General features: G+C 40.5%; 1 long non-coding RNA gene and 1 other non-coding gene across 15 annotated transcripts in view, besides 10 other annotated features; both read left to right on the top strand.

Moving 5' to 3' along the window:
- The window catches only part of MIR9-2HG (MIR9-2 host gene), a 152,776-nt gene that overhangs the window by 17,475 nt on the left and 119,729 nt on the right, over positions 1–15,572 (top strand). For 3 of the 14 annotated variants that reach the window (NR_152233.1, NR_152234.1, NR_024383.2), the window contains 3 exon segments: positions 539–602; positions 2,482–2,531; positions 5,976–9,122. This is a non-coding gene — a long non-coding RNA (MIR9-2 host gene). 14 annotated transcript variants of the gene reach the window in all.
- Positions 676–1,289: an enhancer, noted in NCBI's record as "OCT4-NANOG-H3K4me1 hESC enhancer chr5:87968096-87968709 (GRCh37/hg19 assembly coordinates)". NCBI's record gives its function as "activates a minimal SCP1, AML or CMV promoter by ChIP-STARR-seq in primed H9 embryonic stem cells {active_cell/tissue: H9 hESC(primed)}" and the evidence as "EXISTENCE:reporter gene assay evidence [ECO:0000049][PMID:30033119]".
- Positions 1,290–1,902: an enhancer, noted in NCBI's record as "OCT4-NANOG-H3K4me1 hESC enhancer chr5:87967483-87968095 (GRCh37/hg19 assembly coordinates)". NCBI's record gives its function as "activates a minimal SCP1, AML or CMV promoter by ChIP-STARR-seq in primed H9 embryonic stem cells {active_cell/tissue: H9 hESC(primed)}" and the evidence as "EXISTENCE:reporter gene assay evidence [ECO:0000049][PMID:30033119]".
- Positions 6,628–6,714, top strand: MIR9-2 (microRNA 9-2). Its single transcript, NR_030741.1, has one exon. It is a non-coding gene; the product is annotated as a microRNA 9-2 (primary transcript).
- Positions 8,274–9,096: an enhancer, noted in NCBI's record as "OCT4-NANOG hESC enhancer chr5:87960289-87961111 (GRCh37/hg19 assembly coordinates)". NCBI's record gives its function as "activates a minimal SCP1, AML or CMV promoter by ChIP-STARR-seq in naive and primed H9 embryonic stem cells {active_cell/tissue: H9 hESC(naive and primed)}" and the evidence as "EXISTENCE:reporter gene assay evidence [ECO:0000049][PMID:30033119]".
- Positions 9,097–9,920: an enhancer, noted in NCBI's record as "OCT4-NANOG hESC enhancer chr5:87959465-87960288 (GRCh37/hg19 assembly coordinates)". NCBI's record gives its function as "activates a minimal SCP1, AML or CMV promoter by ChIP-STARR-seq in primed H9 embryonic stem cells {active_cell/tissue: H9 hESC(primed)}" and the evidence as "EXISTENCE:reporter gene assay evidence [ECO:0000049][PMID:30033119]".
- Positions 11,745–12,570: an enhancer, noted in NCBI's record as "NANOG hESC enhancer chr5:87956815-87957640 (GRCh37/hg19 assembly coordinates)". NCBI's record gives its function as "activates a minimal SCP1, AML or CMV promoter by ChIP-STARR-seq in naive and primed H9 embryonic stem cells {active_cell/tissue: H9 hESC(naive and primed)}" and the evidence as "EXISTENCE:reporter gene assay evidence [ECO:0000049][PMID:30033119]".
- Positions 11,745–12,625: a biological region, named in NCBI's record as "NANOG hESC enhancer GRCh37_chr5:87956815-87957640".
- Positions 12,036–12,115: a silencer, noted in NCBI's record as "silent region_16163". NCBI's record gives its function as "represses an Ori minimal core promoter by ATAC-STARR-seq in GM12878 lymphoblastoid cells {active_cell/tissue: GM12878}" and the evidence as "EXISTENCE:reporter gene assay evidence [ECO:0000049][PMID:35858748]".
- Positions 12,436–12,625: a silencer, noted in NCBI's record as "silent region_16162". NCBI's record gives its function as "represses an Ori minimal core promoter by ATAC-STARR-seq in GM12878 lymphoblastoid cells {active_cell/tissue: GM12878}" and the evidence as "EXISTENCE:reporter gene assay evidence [ECO:0000049][PMID:35858748]".
- Positions 13,167–13,678: an enhancer, noted in NCBI's record as "H3K4me1 hESC enhancer chr5:87955707-87956218 (GRCh37/hg19 assembly coordinates)". NCBI's record gives its function as "activates a minimal SCP1, AML or CMV promoter by ChIP-STARR-seq in naive H9 embryonic stem cells {active_cell/tissue: H9 hESC(naive)}" and the evidence as "EXISTENCE:reporter gene assay evidence [ECO:0000049][PMID:30033119]".
- Positions 13,679–14,192: an enhancer, noted in NCBI's record as "H3K4me1 hESC enhancer chr5:87955193-87955706 (GRCh37/hg19 assembly coordinates)". NCBI's record gives its function as "activates a minimal SCP1, AML or CMV promoter by ChIP-STARR-seq in naive H9 embryonic stem cells {active_cell/tissue: H9 hESC(naive)}" and the evidence as "EXISTENCE:reporter gene assay evidence [ECO:0000049][PMID:30033119]".

Genomic DNA, 15,572 nt, shown 5'->3' with positions numbered 1-15,572 from the left:
CTGTCAGGAGGGGACTATGAGAGGTTTGGGTGCAAATTCATTATCTCTGGCAACGCAGAACGTAGTGTGGGGACTGAAAAAGACCGTGGCAATGGATGAACAATAGGGCTTCAGTTCATCAGTAACAAAAGCAGTGGGGAAATTGGTTGAGTTTCAGAGCACGTCCTCCTCGGCAGAGGGGGCTGGACTAGACCTTGGACAGCCCCCCCAAAAACTTGCCAAGCCTCGCACACACCACTTCACTCTCCACTCCGAGGCTCAGGGAGCAAGTGCCTGGCATGGGGGGTAAAAGTTGGCTTTTTTTTTACTCCTTGGTCTTTTGCGCCCTTCTCCCTCTCCCCAGAAGGGAAGACCCATTTAAACTATTTTAGACGCAATCAACCAAGAATCACCATGTGGAATTGAGCGGCAGTTTTAAATGTGTTGAGCAGGGGAGAGGAATGATGAGAAAAACATTTTTTTTTTTTTTTTTGGAGACGCCGAAAGAAGCCTGTTTGTGTGCTGCGGCCGTGCTGTGACTTTGGATCTTGTCTTTCAGCCGGCGCCTCGGTTCCTGCCCAGCTGGATTTGGGGGGCAGCATTGCCTGGCGCAGGGAGATCAAGTGAGTATCGTGGCGGCCCTCAGGCTGCAGCTCGCCCGCGGCGCGAGGCCAGCAGTGCCCGCCGCGGCCCCGCGCCCGCACTCCTCACCTCGCCCGCTAGCCGGTGCCCGCAGAGTCCCGCTGCGGGCCGCTCCGAGGGCCAGTCCGGGGCTTTGCTTCAGCTAATTGATTGTGTGCCTCGGATGTTAAACCTGTTGATCTCGTGAGTTTTCTTAGCCAGTACTGTTAATTATCCAGCGGCTTGACCCCCAATCGCAGAGAGATGCCAGGAAATCTTCGCGTTGGAAAAGGGAATTTTTGTATGTAATTTTGTGGTGGTGGTGGTGGTGGTGTGTTTGGGGGGGCTTTTCCCTTTTAAACCTAGAGCAAAATGCACTTGTATTTTGCACTTCTGTATTCGAATTCGCATTTTGAAGAATTCGCCTCCCTTTAACCGCCCCAAAGTTGCAATTACCTGGCAAGGAAGCGAGGGTCTGATTAGATTTTGGTGGAAAACTTAGTACAGTAGCTAAGTAGATCTGGTGGCTTTCCACTTCCCTTTTCTCTTTGCCTTTTGAATTTTGGGAGGTGAGAGGCCGCTTTACAGGGTTATCCCAAGTTCAGATTCATCAAGATGCAACCATCATGGTTAGTTATTGGTACTTGGAGCGGTTCAGCTTAAGACGCTTCTGGTATCCAAACGGAGCTAGGTCTTTGCGGTTTGCTTAGAGTCTAGACCCGGCTGAGGAAGGCAAGAACTCCTTTCTGTGGCCTGGAATTATCTGCAGGAACCCAGGGTGATGGGAACTCGGGCAATGTATTTGCATTAGTGTCTGCGGCGTTTTATCTTGCAAATGTACCCGCGGTGCTTGAATGGGGGACTGTCTTGAGGGGTCAGGAGAGCAGTGGAATTGATCAGAAGTTAGACCGGAGGCTCTGTCAAGTCACGGCCACGGCCGGGGGCCCCTTTGGAGCTGTGGCTGCCTTGGGCCCAGCACCGCAGAGTCGGGTTCCGTTTCCTCCCTTTCTTGGTGTCCACCTCTGTCTACCACCCTCCTTTCTCCACCTTGGCACCGGTAATTAGGGCGCTGTCTCAGGAAGCGAGCTCCCACAGTCAGCATAATTAAACCAGGGCAATACTTTCATTTTGCAAAACCAATAGCCCCACCCCTCCAGTCCAAAATAACAATAAGCATTAAAAAATCATAAAAGAAAAACAACCTATTTTGGGGAGTATTGAATTCCTGAATGTTGGATCGAGAGGGAATGGGGGAAGGGAAATTTTCAAAAATCCACCACTTTACAGCAATCAGGTTTTACATTATTCATTGATTTACTGGAGGAAAGAGCCAATCAGGAGCCATAGATATGAATGCACATCTCACGGTGCTGTGGCCTTACAGTAAACTATTTGCATCTTTCTAATGGAGTAGATATTTATCCAGGGATTGCCATTGTTCGAAAGGCCTGGAAATTCAGTTCCTTAAACATTTAGAAAATAAGACTTTGTTCCAGACTTAAAATCCTTACATGGAAGGACTCTCCTCTTTTGTATGGCAGGTTACAAGGTTCAAGTCCCTAATGTTTTTTTAAGAGTCCCTCTTCCTTCCAAGCTAAAAATAAAAGAAAAGAAGAAAGAAAAATTAATTTCTCAAACCCCTCCAGATTCTGCATATTTTGCATTCACATTATCATGCATGTCTCCATTTGAATGCAAATTAGCATATTTAACCCCGTGGGTGCTGAGACCTAGGATACATTGTACTGGGGTTTTATGGAATCTCTGGCATTTTAAGGAATCATGTTAATAGCAATATTTTAAATGAAGCAATATCTATATGACTTCATATGTATACATATATATAAACTGTGATCATTTGTTTTCTTGACTATTTTTCAGATGAGACTGCAAAGAAGCATAAAATGAATAGACAATCCAACCAACCAAAGGTAATTTTAAAATTTACATTTGATAAAATCCAAGTGATGTACAAAATAGAGTATTATTTACTAGGCGGTAGGCATGCAGTGGGTTGCATATCTCCTAATTCATGCTCTAAGTTTCTATATGTGCAGCCTTCTCCTCTACAGGGAGCCTTTGTATATTATATATCAAGCATAATACAAATATAACCTGTAACTGCCTATAAAAAAGAAATTCAAGATACAGAGTAAATAATAGAATACTTTTGTTAGAAAGTAAGCCAGTCAGGTACCTTGCCTGAACTATACAAATCACTGTAAATTAAATGGCTTTTATGTAGAAAATGGTAGTCTTGACTGTACTAGTGCACTGTGGTTTACATGCATTTGAATCATACAAACCAAATATTAAAAGGGGATTTCAGTGATAGGCCAGTTCTTCATGTGCTTTGCAGTAATCTGAATAGGATTCAGAGGTGTTCTAAATATGGTGACAAACCTAATGTATTTGAATTTATGAAATAGCATAATTCTGATCCAAATAATGTGGAAAACGTAACTTTTCACTTTTAACTGAAATAGAGATTGTCTACTCCCAGGTAAACCAGAATGTTTCAATTCATGTTTCAGCCATCTGGAGATCTATAAAAAGATTAGAAAACAAGCATGACAATCACGTCCTAATCTACTGGCCATTAATGGGAATTTATTAGTGAATGAGCAGGCAAACCATTTAAATTCAGTATATCCTTCAGAATGCAGATTTCAAAACTGGTATTCTGCTCAGCTTAATAGCTATTTGAAAGCAAAAATATCTGATATAACATGTAGGTGTTAATAGTTGCTCTTAATATGTGACAGACATTGCTAGGAATCTTTAGGGCTACACAATTGTTTCAACTTGTCTCACATCCTATATAATAATACAGTCTTTGAAATATGTATAAACCATCATATAAACCTTGGCAATATTCAAAATAATCAGATGCTCTGTGTTAAGCCTTACTGTGTAGTTTTTATTTCTGCATATCCTGAGAGATGGTGGAGAGTAAAATATTTAGTTGGCTATCTGGCTAATGAACAGACTGCTCATAATCCTAATGTTGGTTCCTTTCACTTATTGGGACTCCCATGATGAGTCTATGTTATATATGCCAGACATGGGGACCAGGCCCGGAGTCCAGTTGATATGACTATGTGGCATTGCCCTAGAAGATGCTGTTTTAAGACAGTATCTTCTATAGCTTTTAATTGTAAAAGCATCTCAAATGTTCAGTGTCTTGGCTTTCATGATGGATACTTTGGTTCTAAAAATGCATTTAGTTGCTAAGTGTGGAAATATAGCCATGTTACTTTGCAAATTCACACAGATATGGGGGTGATAAACATGCACAGACAAATGCATGACATCTCTTTGCTTCCACCAGCCCCCACCCAAGTATATATAAAGCAAAAAGATATTCTAAAAATACCTGTCATCTGACCACATGCTTGCTTTATGTAATACATGCCAAATCACTAATGATTCTGCATCTGTGTCTTGGAAAGCAAGGCCACAATACTCTCACTCTTCCAAGGCGGCAGAGCTCATTAGTGTTTTATGTAATGTCTAAGGTGGAATGTGCCTCAGTGATGTGTTACATTTTTATTTAGTAGTGTATGTTGTGACCAGCTAGTTCGAGAAGGAACAGTAACTTCATGGAGGTGTGTTTCTCTGAGTTAGTTTTTGGTTTGCTTGTGCATTTTATGTATAACCCAATGCAGCCATTTCTGATTGTACCTCTTGTACCATAATTTGGTAAGAAAAATAGATGAACAATTTCAACAGCTTAGTCTTTTCTAAATAATCAGTACTGGAATGTTCACCAAAAAAAGTAAATAAATAAAAAATCTAGGGAAAAGTTGGCATCTATGTTACTAAATCATATCTTTAATTGGTGTAATATTGTAGTTTAAACTCTTGATTATAAGCTTTTCCTAACTATTCTGATTTTCTTGCTAGTCTTTTTTATAGGGTTTACATATATGTGCTCTGTATATAATTCAGTAAGCATGTTCACATTCATGTCATAAATGAATAAGTCACTGAATTAATGAAAGAGTGTATGTTAATTCCAAAAGTGTTTTAGTTGTTGGGGAAAATAATCTATAGAATTGAGAGTATTGTGATAAAGTAGTCATGTGTGCAATGAATATTAAGATTACTCTAATAGCATATATTTTAAAGAATAGCAATATGACCAAACATAACTTGAAATTTTGAAAAGCAGTTCATAAGGTTCACCCTTGGTAAATATGAATTTAATGTAGACTATCTTAGATGTTCTGTTGAGGGACATTTGAATATTACAACTGCATGTATTATAGATGAGTTAGACATAGATTACTCATTACTAAGGAGAGAGAAGAAGAAAAGGACTCTTTGAAGTGATCATATTCACACTTTGAAAAGTTCTAAGAAAAGGAATGAGGCTAATTAATTAATAAAACAACATTCCCCTCTAGATAGAAGAAAGGTGGGGGTTGGAGAAGGGGAAGGTAGGGCAGAGTTATGCTCTTAACATCCAGGTGTTTTATATGTGTTCTTCACGAGGTAACAACGTTTTTTTTCATAGTTTCAGAAGCAAGACTATTACATTATCCTTTTGTATGAAAATTGATGTTTAAAACAATAGACAAAGGCTCAGGATTTTCATTACAGCAGAGTTGTGTACAGCATTAGAAACTATTGCTGCAAGGTTTACCTGTGCTGCATTCTAACGCACACACCCTACATATGTAGTCATTTTTTAAAAACCACGATGAAGTCCGCTTGCTTAGAGCATTCAGTTCGAACTTACAGAACAAAATATGCTGCCCTATCGCCATGGTACATAGATACAAAACATGACTGAGCTGTGAAGCCATTAAAAACACACCACCAGAGCAAATTGTCAATGTAATCACACATCGACTCACTGCGTAATACAGATCTGATTCCCAGCCCCAGAAAACGAGGCCCTGCTTTAAGCAATAGCAAAGTGCCTTCCATCTGTCTGCCTATGCAATCTGCCAGAAGAAAAATGCAGGCAAAGACGTTCCCCAGATCTGAAATGCTTTTATCTGTCCTTAGAGAGAGATTTCTTCCAGTCTTTGGATACTAGAACGATCTACACTAGCACGGAGGAGGTAAAAGGCCGCGGGTTGCTTTTCCAGGAGCAGTCGGTAGTGCTAGCGGAAGAGATGTTGATTGAGAAAATAGGGATTGTTGCAATGCTGCCGCTACTGCTGCTGTCGCTGCCGCTGCTCGGGCAGCAGGCGTGGGGCAGTTGGCTGATCACTGATGCATATCAATAACCATGTACTTGAGATTTCTCATGACATCATCATTACCTTGGTCTCCCGCGGTCTCGAACCTTTGACCTTGCCGGGCTGGTCCACAATTTGGCAGTGAAAGCCCCTCCAATGATGGCCCTTTTCTCCTTCTTTCAGACCGGGGGCAGCAGCAGGCCAGCAAGACGGCATCTTCTCCTTCCCAGCCTAGAAGCCCTGTGAAATCGAGGATCTTCCCCCTAAAACACATACACACAAGATATGTGCAATCAAGCTGCCACCGCTTGGTAAAAAGCCATGGTGCCTAACCAAAAAGGATCAGGAACAGATCCTTGAATCAGCTGTCACTTCTATAGAATGGGATTTTTTTTTCCTTCCTCCTTAACCTGCGCTGGAAATTGCCGTTGGCTTTATACATCTCTATAGAGAGAGGCTAAAGAGTCTTGCGTGAGAAAGAAGCAATTTACAATGCAAATAGAGGCCTGTGAAGGGACGGATGCTGCTGCTCACTCGTAACAGCTTGCTGCACCTTAATAGCTGGTTTTATTTTCTGATATTAATAGATGAATTGTTGGCTAACGCTGCCGGAGATTACTTGCTGAAAGGAAAAAGAAAAGTTCGGAATAAACTCTGAAGGCAACAGATCTCGTTTGGATGTTTTAGCCGCGCACACACACAAACAGAAACCAGGTCATATTTACATAAAAGGAGGAATCTTAAGCGCGGCAAGTATCCTGGACGACCACTCTTCGGTACTGCCAGAAAGGATCAGGACCTGGAGTCTGGCAAGAGGAAGACAGAGGCCTGTGTGGGAAGCGAGTTGTTATCTTTGGTTATCTAGCTGTATGAGTGTATTGGTCTTCATAAAGCTAGATAACCGAAAGTAAAAACTCCTTCAAGATCGCCGGGGAGCGTGTGAGAATGAAAGACTACAGCCGAGAGACAGTAAAAACCAGAAAGGTCAGGAATACTTATTGAATCTAACTTTGTTTTTGTTTTGTTTTTTTCCTTATGATTAAAGGTGGGATGAGAGAAAATTAAATGACACACACATGCTAAAATATCAAGGTTCCAGATATGTCTTGAGAGGGGTTGTTGCAGCTGCAAAGGAGAAGTGTATAGTGATAATGAGTAAAGATGCATGTGCAGTTTGTTCTATTTTAAGGCAAAAGTTATATCAGGGATTTTTTTCTTAGAAAGGTGTTGCAGAGATGTCTGGTACCTAGTTTAAAAATGATTCCATAATATGTAGACTTGGGCAGTTCCTTTGGGAGGCACCTCCCTCTCAAAATTTGAAGATTGTGCTTGGAAATTACTTTACATGTATTTGGGCTGTATGTCAATTTGTACGAAATTAGACTTTCAGAAAAGTTTATACTGGAAGGTTAATAATTTGTATCTACTGAGGACTTAGAGCTAGCAGGCAAAATGAAAAAAAAAAAAAAAAAAGCAAGGGCTGATTTTTATTCTTCTATTCAAAATACAAGGACAGATGCTTCTCTGTTCCAAGAGGGTTTCCTTGAGGAAGCTACTGAAGCAGAAAGACATGATGGAGACGAGATCGCCTCCCCTCTTGTCAAAGTGTTAAAAAAATGTTCTGTCTTACTCTGCGCCTAGCATTGGAAATGAAAGTGACATTTACGCCACAACCCACGTGTGCGCCTCCTCTCTTTTTGTTTAAGGATGATCAGGTCTATCCAGGAAACAGCTCTGGCATCCCAAACTGAAATAATTAGGACGTATATAGACCTGACAAAAATGGAAAGGGGGTGGGGAATCTGAGGGTCTGTCTTGCCTAATTGATTCCGCTAAACGGAATGCAGGAGATGTGAACGGCAGGACGCTCCGATTCCCACGCTCGGGGGCAAGTGATAAAGCGGGGCCGGGCAGCCTATGACAGACAGCCCTGTTGGGGGGTGGGGGTATGAAAAAAACATCAAGTGCACACACCATACTCATCTCCATCGCTTAAGAAAGTAAAGGCATTTCCCACCCACAGCCATCTGCAGCTTCCCAAATGGCAGCACCAACTGGTCTGTAGCTGCTACATAGTCTGCTTCTGTTAATTTTTTAACCACTGTTTAATCTGGCCATAATTAAGTTTGGCTTTCTTCGTTGTTTGAGATTTTCAGAATTCAAGGCAAGCTAGTAGAAAGCAATTCCAAGAAAGTCCCATGACTGCCTGCCCCTAATGTCAAAATCTCAGTCCATGAGATTATGGCCTTGTGACCACATTTTTGCTTTTGTTTTGGGTGGGCAAATGTGTATAGAGATAAAATACATATCTCTATATAACAGTCGTTATTATAATTTCATGAGGCTTTTTACCTCTTAACATGATACATCTAGGAACTTGGTCTAATTGTGCTAGTAGATATACACTAGAAGTAAAACTATAAAGTCATTAGCCTGTAGAAAGTTGATTATGATAACAATATGATAAAAAGTTTGTTTTGGAATAGTCTCAGCTAGATGGGTCTAAATAGCCATTTTAATGTAATCTAAAAATAACACTATGCCTAGCAGAAACTTTGGCGCTTTGGAGGTCCCCATTGTCGCCTTTTCATAAAAGTCCTTAAGTTTTCCATATGTCACCAAGCAAACATTTGTATAGGCATTTACACAGAAATATAACCATTGCAATTAGAAAATATCCAAAATAGCCTGTTATCTTCCACGTGGCCTAGATTATTGACAATCCCAAATATACAATTTTTCTTTAAAAGTAGTACAATTTCCTTTGTAGCTTCAATTCCTTATATGACTTCAGACTGGAGAAGCCTGTTAAACCACTGTTAGTTTCAGTTAGAAAGTCTGAGAGACTTTATACATAAATTCTCAATTTGGCTGCTGTACACGTGCCAGAGTTTTACTACTGTAGTGACCGTTGAGAAGACCCTTGTTTATTTACATTTGAAGCACTGTTTGTGCAAACAACCTTTCATTGTTAAGTGCCTGTATTCCTTTCATTTACTTCATGTCCAGGGGTGCTATTTACCTAGAACCATTGTCTACTACAATTAACATTTACATTACAAAGTGTGTGGTTTTCTTTTTCAAGGAGGTTCAATTAAGGCAATAAGATGTTTGCTGGAGAAACCTATTGTTTACTGAAAGCACTCAATGAAGTCAAATTACTGAAGCTTTTGCCTACATCTTGGTCTTTTATGTAAATATGTTAAATATAACATCTAAGGAAAATAAACAATATTATAATTATGTGTTTGCCATTGTCATATCAAACTTGCTTTGTATCATACTAATGTTACATAACTTATCGATCAATAAAAATACATTTCAATGTTATTATTTTCATTTTATTTTTTGCTGTTCCACTGCCCTTGGTGCAACATGTCCCAATTTTTCTTTTTTCTATTACACATCAAACTTCTGACATTTTGTTTTATTTGTGTGTGTTGAAGAGAGGTACTGTATCTGAGCATAGGTTTGAAGGGTGTTGGAAATAATCTGTACATTGACCTTATAATAAGGTGATATTTCTTTGAAACCCGTAATATTCCAAAGGCATGTACATTTAAGTCAAAAGAAGTGTAAATATCAGTTAAGTAGTTCTTTGAAACCTAGTTTTAACATTGGCAGAAACCGGATCAAGTTTATTTAGCATACCACTGCATTGTAAAACAGTTGGAGTGAAGTTGCAGGTTGCGTGAGTATGCATGTTAACTAGTGGGAACCAAGTGCAGTCTTTGTGAAAGGGGAGCAGCAGATTGCTGTGCAAGGCCAATGTTAAAAAGGCAGCTGAATTTAACACCATCTGGAAGAAAAGATCCCTTCACGACTTTCTCACACCGTCAGACAAAACTAGTGTCTCTTGTTCCGAGCCCTTGTCTATGCAACCATACAATACTGAGTCATTATACTTTTGCTGAGAGAAAATTTGAGAACACAATATGGGTAACCAGTGAATGACCAAGTTTCATTGTGCCCGCTTAAGTCGATTGAAATCTACGTCTAGAGCTATGAATGGTAGTATTGTTTTCCTCACCAGGGCTGTACTAAATGTCAGCACAGTGTAAAGAAAAACTGTAAAGAAAAGTCTGCAAATAACTTACCAAATCTCAATTATAATATTTTCCCACACTAGAACTAATATCATTGCGAGGGGCTACATTGCAGAAAATACAAAAAGAAACGAAAAGAAATAGTTCATTTAGAAGTTATTTTATCCAGACAAACATTTTAATTTTCTGATGGGAACTTCAATTCAGGCTTCAGGCTGGGATGAGAGGTGGAATTCAGTACTGGCGAGTTCAAATTACAAAAATTCTGCTTCTGCAATTAAAATACCATAAAACAAACACCTAGCCCCACCTGAAGTTCTCTATTCTTAAATATAAATGGACTCTATGTGGGTTTTACTACTTTAGTCCTGCATAGAATTGTTAGTGTGAATCTAGCTTAAATTTTGCTTTAAATTATGGCACACTGCTCTTTCAAAGTTTGCCACTGTGATTGACATTGCAAAAGAACATCATTTCCCAAAATATTTAAGAATATTCTGGCACCTCCCTAGGCGGATTCTGGCGTGCCCAGGAATACACTTCCTTTTTATGTTATGCCCCTCCCCCTACTTTCTAACTTTTTCCCCCTCATGATGTGTGTAAATCAGTTATCCTTCGGTTTAACATTCACGAAATCTATTTGACTGTAAACAGTCAGAAAAAGGAAACAAAACAGTTCAAAAAAAGTAAATGGAGTTGGTTGTGTATGTTTTACTAGGATGTCTATTTTAAATGTAATTGACTTTGCAATTTTGTTATTGTGTCACCAAGTGTCTCATAGTTCTTAACATGTAAGTGCAAAACAATGAGTAATTGCTGTTTTGCTGAATAATACATCTGAGTTGCCAACGTCAAAGGTATTATTTTGCGTATTTCTAAACAGGAACGTTAACTGCAGGTTTTGACATCTAGAATCTTTTCATGAAATACTTAGAAATAGGGTGATAAAATGATACCTGTAAAAGTAAATATAAAGATAGAACCCATTTATTTTCTTTACCCTACTTTGTTATACCAGAAAATTAACATTGAAAAGTCACTCACTAATCAAATAATAAAGGATATAGGATAAACATAGTCATACAAAAAATACAAAACAACAACAAAAATGAAAATTGGATAAAGGTTAAAAAAAAGATTCAGGAAGACTTCTTCAGTGTCCTTGCTGAATGTGAATGGGTATTTTCACTAGTATCAATCCCTTAATGAAGTTGCTATTATGCATAATAATGAGACATGCATTATTTACATTCAAAATGGAATATTTTCCAAAGTGACTGTTCTTTAGGTCACCTTGAACAGTAAATTTTCCACCACAAGAGTTCTTTGTGTTTATTTTTAAAATTAAAATAATTTTCTTATTTGGAAAAATATAAAATTCTAATTTGATTTTTGTGTAGCCTGATGAAAATTAAGAAACCATTTAAATTATAAGGAAGCCATATAGATGGATACATATAAATATTTTAAGATATTTTAGCATTTTAGGAATTTTGACTTTTCAAAAATGGAGAGATGAAACCAAAGGCTTTATTTTCCAATGTGGCTAGAAAATGAATGACAGTATGTAACTGTCTATGTATCTATTTTTTTCCTATGAATCTATACATCTGGAAATGTCACTGTGGTTTCAGAAAATTGATACCCTTTCCTCCCTAATGTGCTACAGTTAAGTAAAACACACCATAATATGTTGCATTTAGTGGGAACTGGGGGTGGCAGTGGTGAGATGGGCAACACAGGACAAGGTGTTCTTTAAGACTAAGAACTAATTAGAATCAGTTATTGAGTAAAAAAGATATCTATAATGCTGGGTCGATTGTTTTAACATGACTACTTCGAGATAGTTAAACAGGTCCTACAGCAATTGGGACATGTAAGGCAGTTCTTCAGTGTCTCTGGATTTTAATGGATGGCTTTGTTAACCCTGTTTCTTTGCTCATCGGTTCTTAACACAACTTAAACAACCTAGTACAGAAATCAGCAGAACCCTCTATTCCTGTTTGCTCAGAGAACCCATTTCACCCCTTCTGGGAACTGTTCGACTTATTTGTGGAATTAATTCTAAGATGGTGAATGGAAATGGAAAGTATATAGTTGTGATTGATATTAAGGAATATTTATCTGCCCTCAATCAGGGCTGCGAGAGTTAGTGCACTTCCTTAGAAAGGTGATGACCATGTTTGAGGTGGGAGCGTGTGGCTTTCCGCTTTTCAGCCAACTGCCAGACCACAGGGGGTAGGGCTTTTAAAAAGTGCAGATAATCGACTTTATTCAGGGAAATACGGAGTTTTGAGCCATATTTGTTCAAAAAGCAGCACATCACTGTGCTTGATGGTTTGACTTGGTTTTAGTTGAGCGCGGGCATAGCGCATTCTGGAGATCTAAAATTAGCCAGGCTTAGCAGCCGCCTTGCAAGGTACTTGGCGTGGGCGGTGCAAAGAGGAGACAGCCGACTCTGTGACTGGCTGCAGATGCGGTTAGGCTAGGCAGTGGCAGCAGCGAAGGCGGCTGGCCCGCCGCGGGGCAGGACGACGCCTCCCGGTGACCGCCAACTGCCCGAGTCCTCCTGCAGCTGCTGCGGCTCGCGGCCCTCGCCTGAAAGCGGGCGTCTGATTGGTGTTTCCCGGGAGACGGGCTCCTCTAGCTGATGGAGCTGGTGCGCCGGCGCGCGCGCTCCCGGGTTGGCGCGCGACTGGGAGGCCGGGGGCGCGCTGCGGCCCGGGTAGCAGGCTGGGAGGCCGCCCAAGTTTGCGCTAGCTCAAGTTCCCGTGCCCGCGCTCGGCGCCTTGGAGGCTGCTGGACACCGGCGCCGCGCTGCGGGGCTCGGCAGGGGCGGGTCGTCAGACTGTCCTTTGCCTGGCACGCTGAGCTGCGTCCGCGAAGGCTATTCCGGTTTTTTTTTTTTTTAAAATTATTATTTGCCAGCCTCTCGGCCCCTAATCAGCGACCTCGGTCACTGCCTCTGCGCCACCTCCGGTCTGCGGTTGCTTGGGAATCCCTGAGTTGAGCTTGTGAATGGGGGTGGCGTCGAGGTTTAGTCACGCCTGGACGTCGGTTAGAGGCAGGCATCTCCCAGCGGCCACCCCCTGCCACAGGGCACCTTCCTCAGGCGGCACGCAACTTGTGGTTAAGAAGCTTTCTTTTGCTGACACTCGGTGTCTCTAGTTTTGCCCAGGCTTCTTCCCTGGACGTGATCAATATCATTGATATAGATATTGTGTAACCCCCAAATCCCCCCTCCCCGCCACCACCACACACACACCGTTATTAACTTAGTGAAAAGCTGCTAACGGAAAGGGTCTCCCTGCGGGGAAGCTGGGTGGGGGGCGGGGGCGGGGAAGTTTTGCTCGGTGGCCGGCGTTGGTGAGCGCTTGCCACTCTGGGCCCTTCCCTGGGGCAACTCCCACTTCTACCCCCATTGCCCATAGGAGCTCAGGGCACATCTTACCCCATCATCAGATTTGCTGGAAATATTAATCTCCTTGTTGGGTGGATACAGTAGAACTTGTTCAGAGATTACTTTAAAAAGAGATCTGGGTCTTAAGCACTTACTAAAGCCAGTTAATAACATCATGCATGGACATTTAAACTTGTTGTAAGTTGCAGAGAGGATTAGCGGGAAGTCACGCTGTGCGCAGCTAATGATACCATCTTAACTCTAACTGGGCTAAATCCAACTCGCCCGGCACAGGTCCGGCTCTGCGGCCCTCGGGTGAGGCTAGGAAAGAGCGCCTTGGAAAGAGGTCTTGGAAAGAGGGCCGAAACTGGCGGAGCCGCCCCGATCCTTACTGCGGGTGACGGTCACTGGTCCTGGGAGGCCGCGGGCGGTCCTGCTGTTGCGTAGGCACGAGCCCAGGGACTGAGGCCCAGGCCTCCCGGTGCACACTGACACACCGCCGTCCGCGGGCTGAGCTTCAGTGACACCGAAGGGCACTGGCCAACATGTCAAAACAGTTTTGATTCCATGAACCAAAGGGCGCACAAGGTCTATTGCAAGCTCAGGTGAAGTCGTGGGACTCCAAAGGTAGTGGCTTTCTTGCTGCTGGTCGATTTGCATTACAGAGGCCGTTTACTTTCAATTCCACTTTTACAAAAGTAGTCAAGCTCTGTATTTCACAGGTAAATTTCGAAGGATATTATTAACAACTTCCTGTCATAGGCTTCCTCAACTACTTTCGGTCTGATTACTGTTTTAAAGCAGTTTGCTACCACTTTATGACAGGGCCAATGAGAAATAATCTTCAGAAAATGCTTCGAAAATGCTGCGTTATTAAAACACTTACCTAACAATATTCATTTAATTCTGTCACTAAGTAGCTGTCTGACAGATTTCGTGTTTTCTCTGAGTTTCTTTTAATAGTCACTGGCCCTCGGAAAACAAGTTATCAGGAGAATTTTAACTGCAACCTGGCTCTTGGCTTTTTTAAGTTTTAAATTCAAACTTGACAAGGTTAAGATTTTTTTTATTATATCATTAATAGCTAGTGGGAGATTGGAAAAAACTACAGACGCTAATCACTTTAATAGTTGGTGAAAACCTGTGAAAGGAACCACTTGAGAAAAGAGATGTGCGTAAAGAAAAAAAAAAGATAGACAATAAATACTTTCTCTGAATCAGGCCACAAAAAATGATCTACAGAATATTACCCAGAATGTCTCTTAAATCTTTGTCTTTTAGGGAAAAATGTCTTCCTACACACACAAATGTATACATATGAATGAAATTTACTGGGATGGAAAAATTTCTAACAAGTATGATTTAGAAATATTTTCACCGAATAAGTATCTCAAATATAATTACGTATTTATCAACACTGGCCTAATTAAAAATACTTCATATAATATATTTGGACATAATACCTTCATGAAGACAATAATAGATGTAATATCATTGAAATTCAGAATCTATGGACTTACTTCCTGTCAGGGTTAAATCTCTTGTATAGTAATAATAAAAGTGTACTTAGTCCTTATTTTTAATTCAATGAGCATTATAAGTTCTTGAAACTTGCATAAATATAATAGTCTTTGCGAGGAGCTCAAATAATAGATTTTAGGCCTTATTATTAGAAAGTACATAGTTTGTACACAGTCACTACCCAATATATATTACTTTAATGGATTGAGTTACCCTTGAAATATATGATGTACATACAAAGTTAAATTAGCATTGACTGATATTGGGAAGATGAAGTTGAGGGTATTGAGTGGTTTGTGGTATAGCTTGAAAACTGTTTAGACAAATTCATGGCAATGAATGTATGACAAATTCATGGCAAGTGGAGTTTGAAATGGATGGAAGAAAAATAATCTGATAGGAATTCATCTTTGGGGTTTGTAATATATACCTCTTGAGTGGTTCCAGTAGCGAAAATACCTAGACAGCAAGGATATAGGAATTAATTGACAAATTTGCATTTGCATTGTTTTATAAAGTAACTCTTATGACAATTTCTAGGTACGTAGATTAATATAAAAATAAAAAGTTTAGCTCTCCCCAAATAAAGTTAAAAATTGCTGAGTAGCTTAGATTTCCACACTGAAGACTCGTGCTCAATTATAGTCTAAAATCTCAGTTTGCAGGTATGACATGGGATTCCAGTGATTCAAACAGCACAGTACAAATACTGCATATACTTCTGCCAAATTTGTCTCAGATGGACTAGCTGCTAAGGAAGAATCTATAGCATGACTGAGCTAACAGAGAGTGTGTTACCTTTCCAATAGGTAA

The sequence above is a fragment of the Homo sapiens genome, chromosome 5 (genome assembly GCF_000001405.40).
Source record: "Homo sapiens chromosome 5, GRCh38.p14 Primary Assembly".
Classification (NCBI taxonomy): Eukaryota; Metazoa; Chordata; class Mammalia; order Primates; family Hominidae; genus Homo; species Homo sapiens.
Note: the sequence above shows the minus strand (reverse complement) of the source record. Positions and strands in the feature narration are given on the sequence as shown.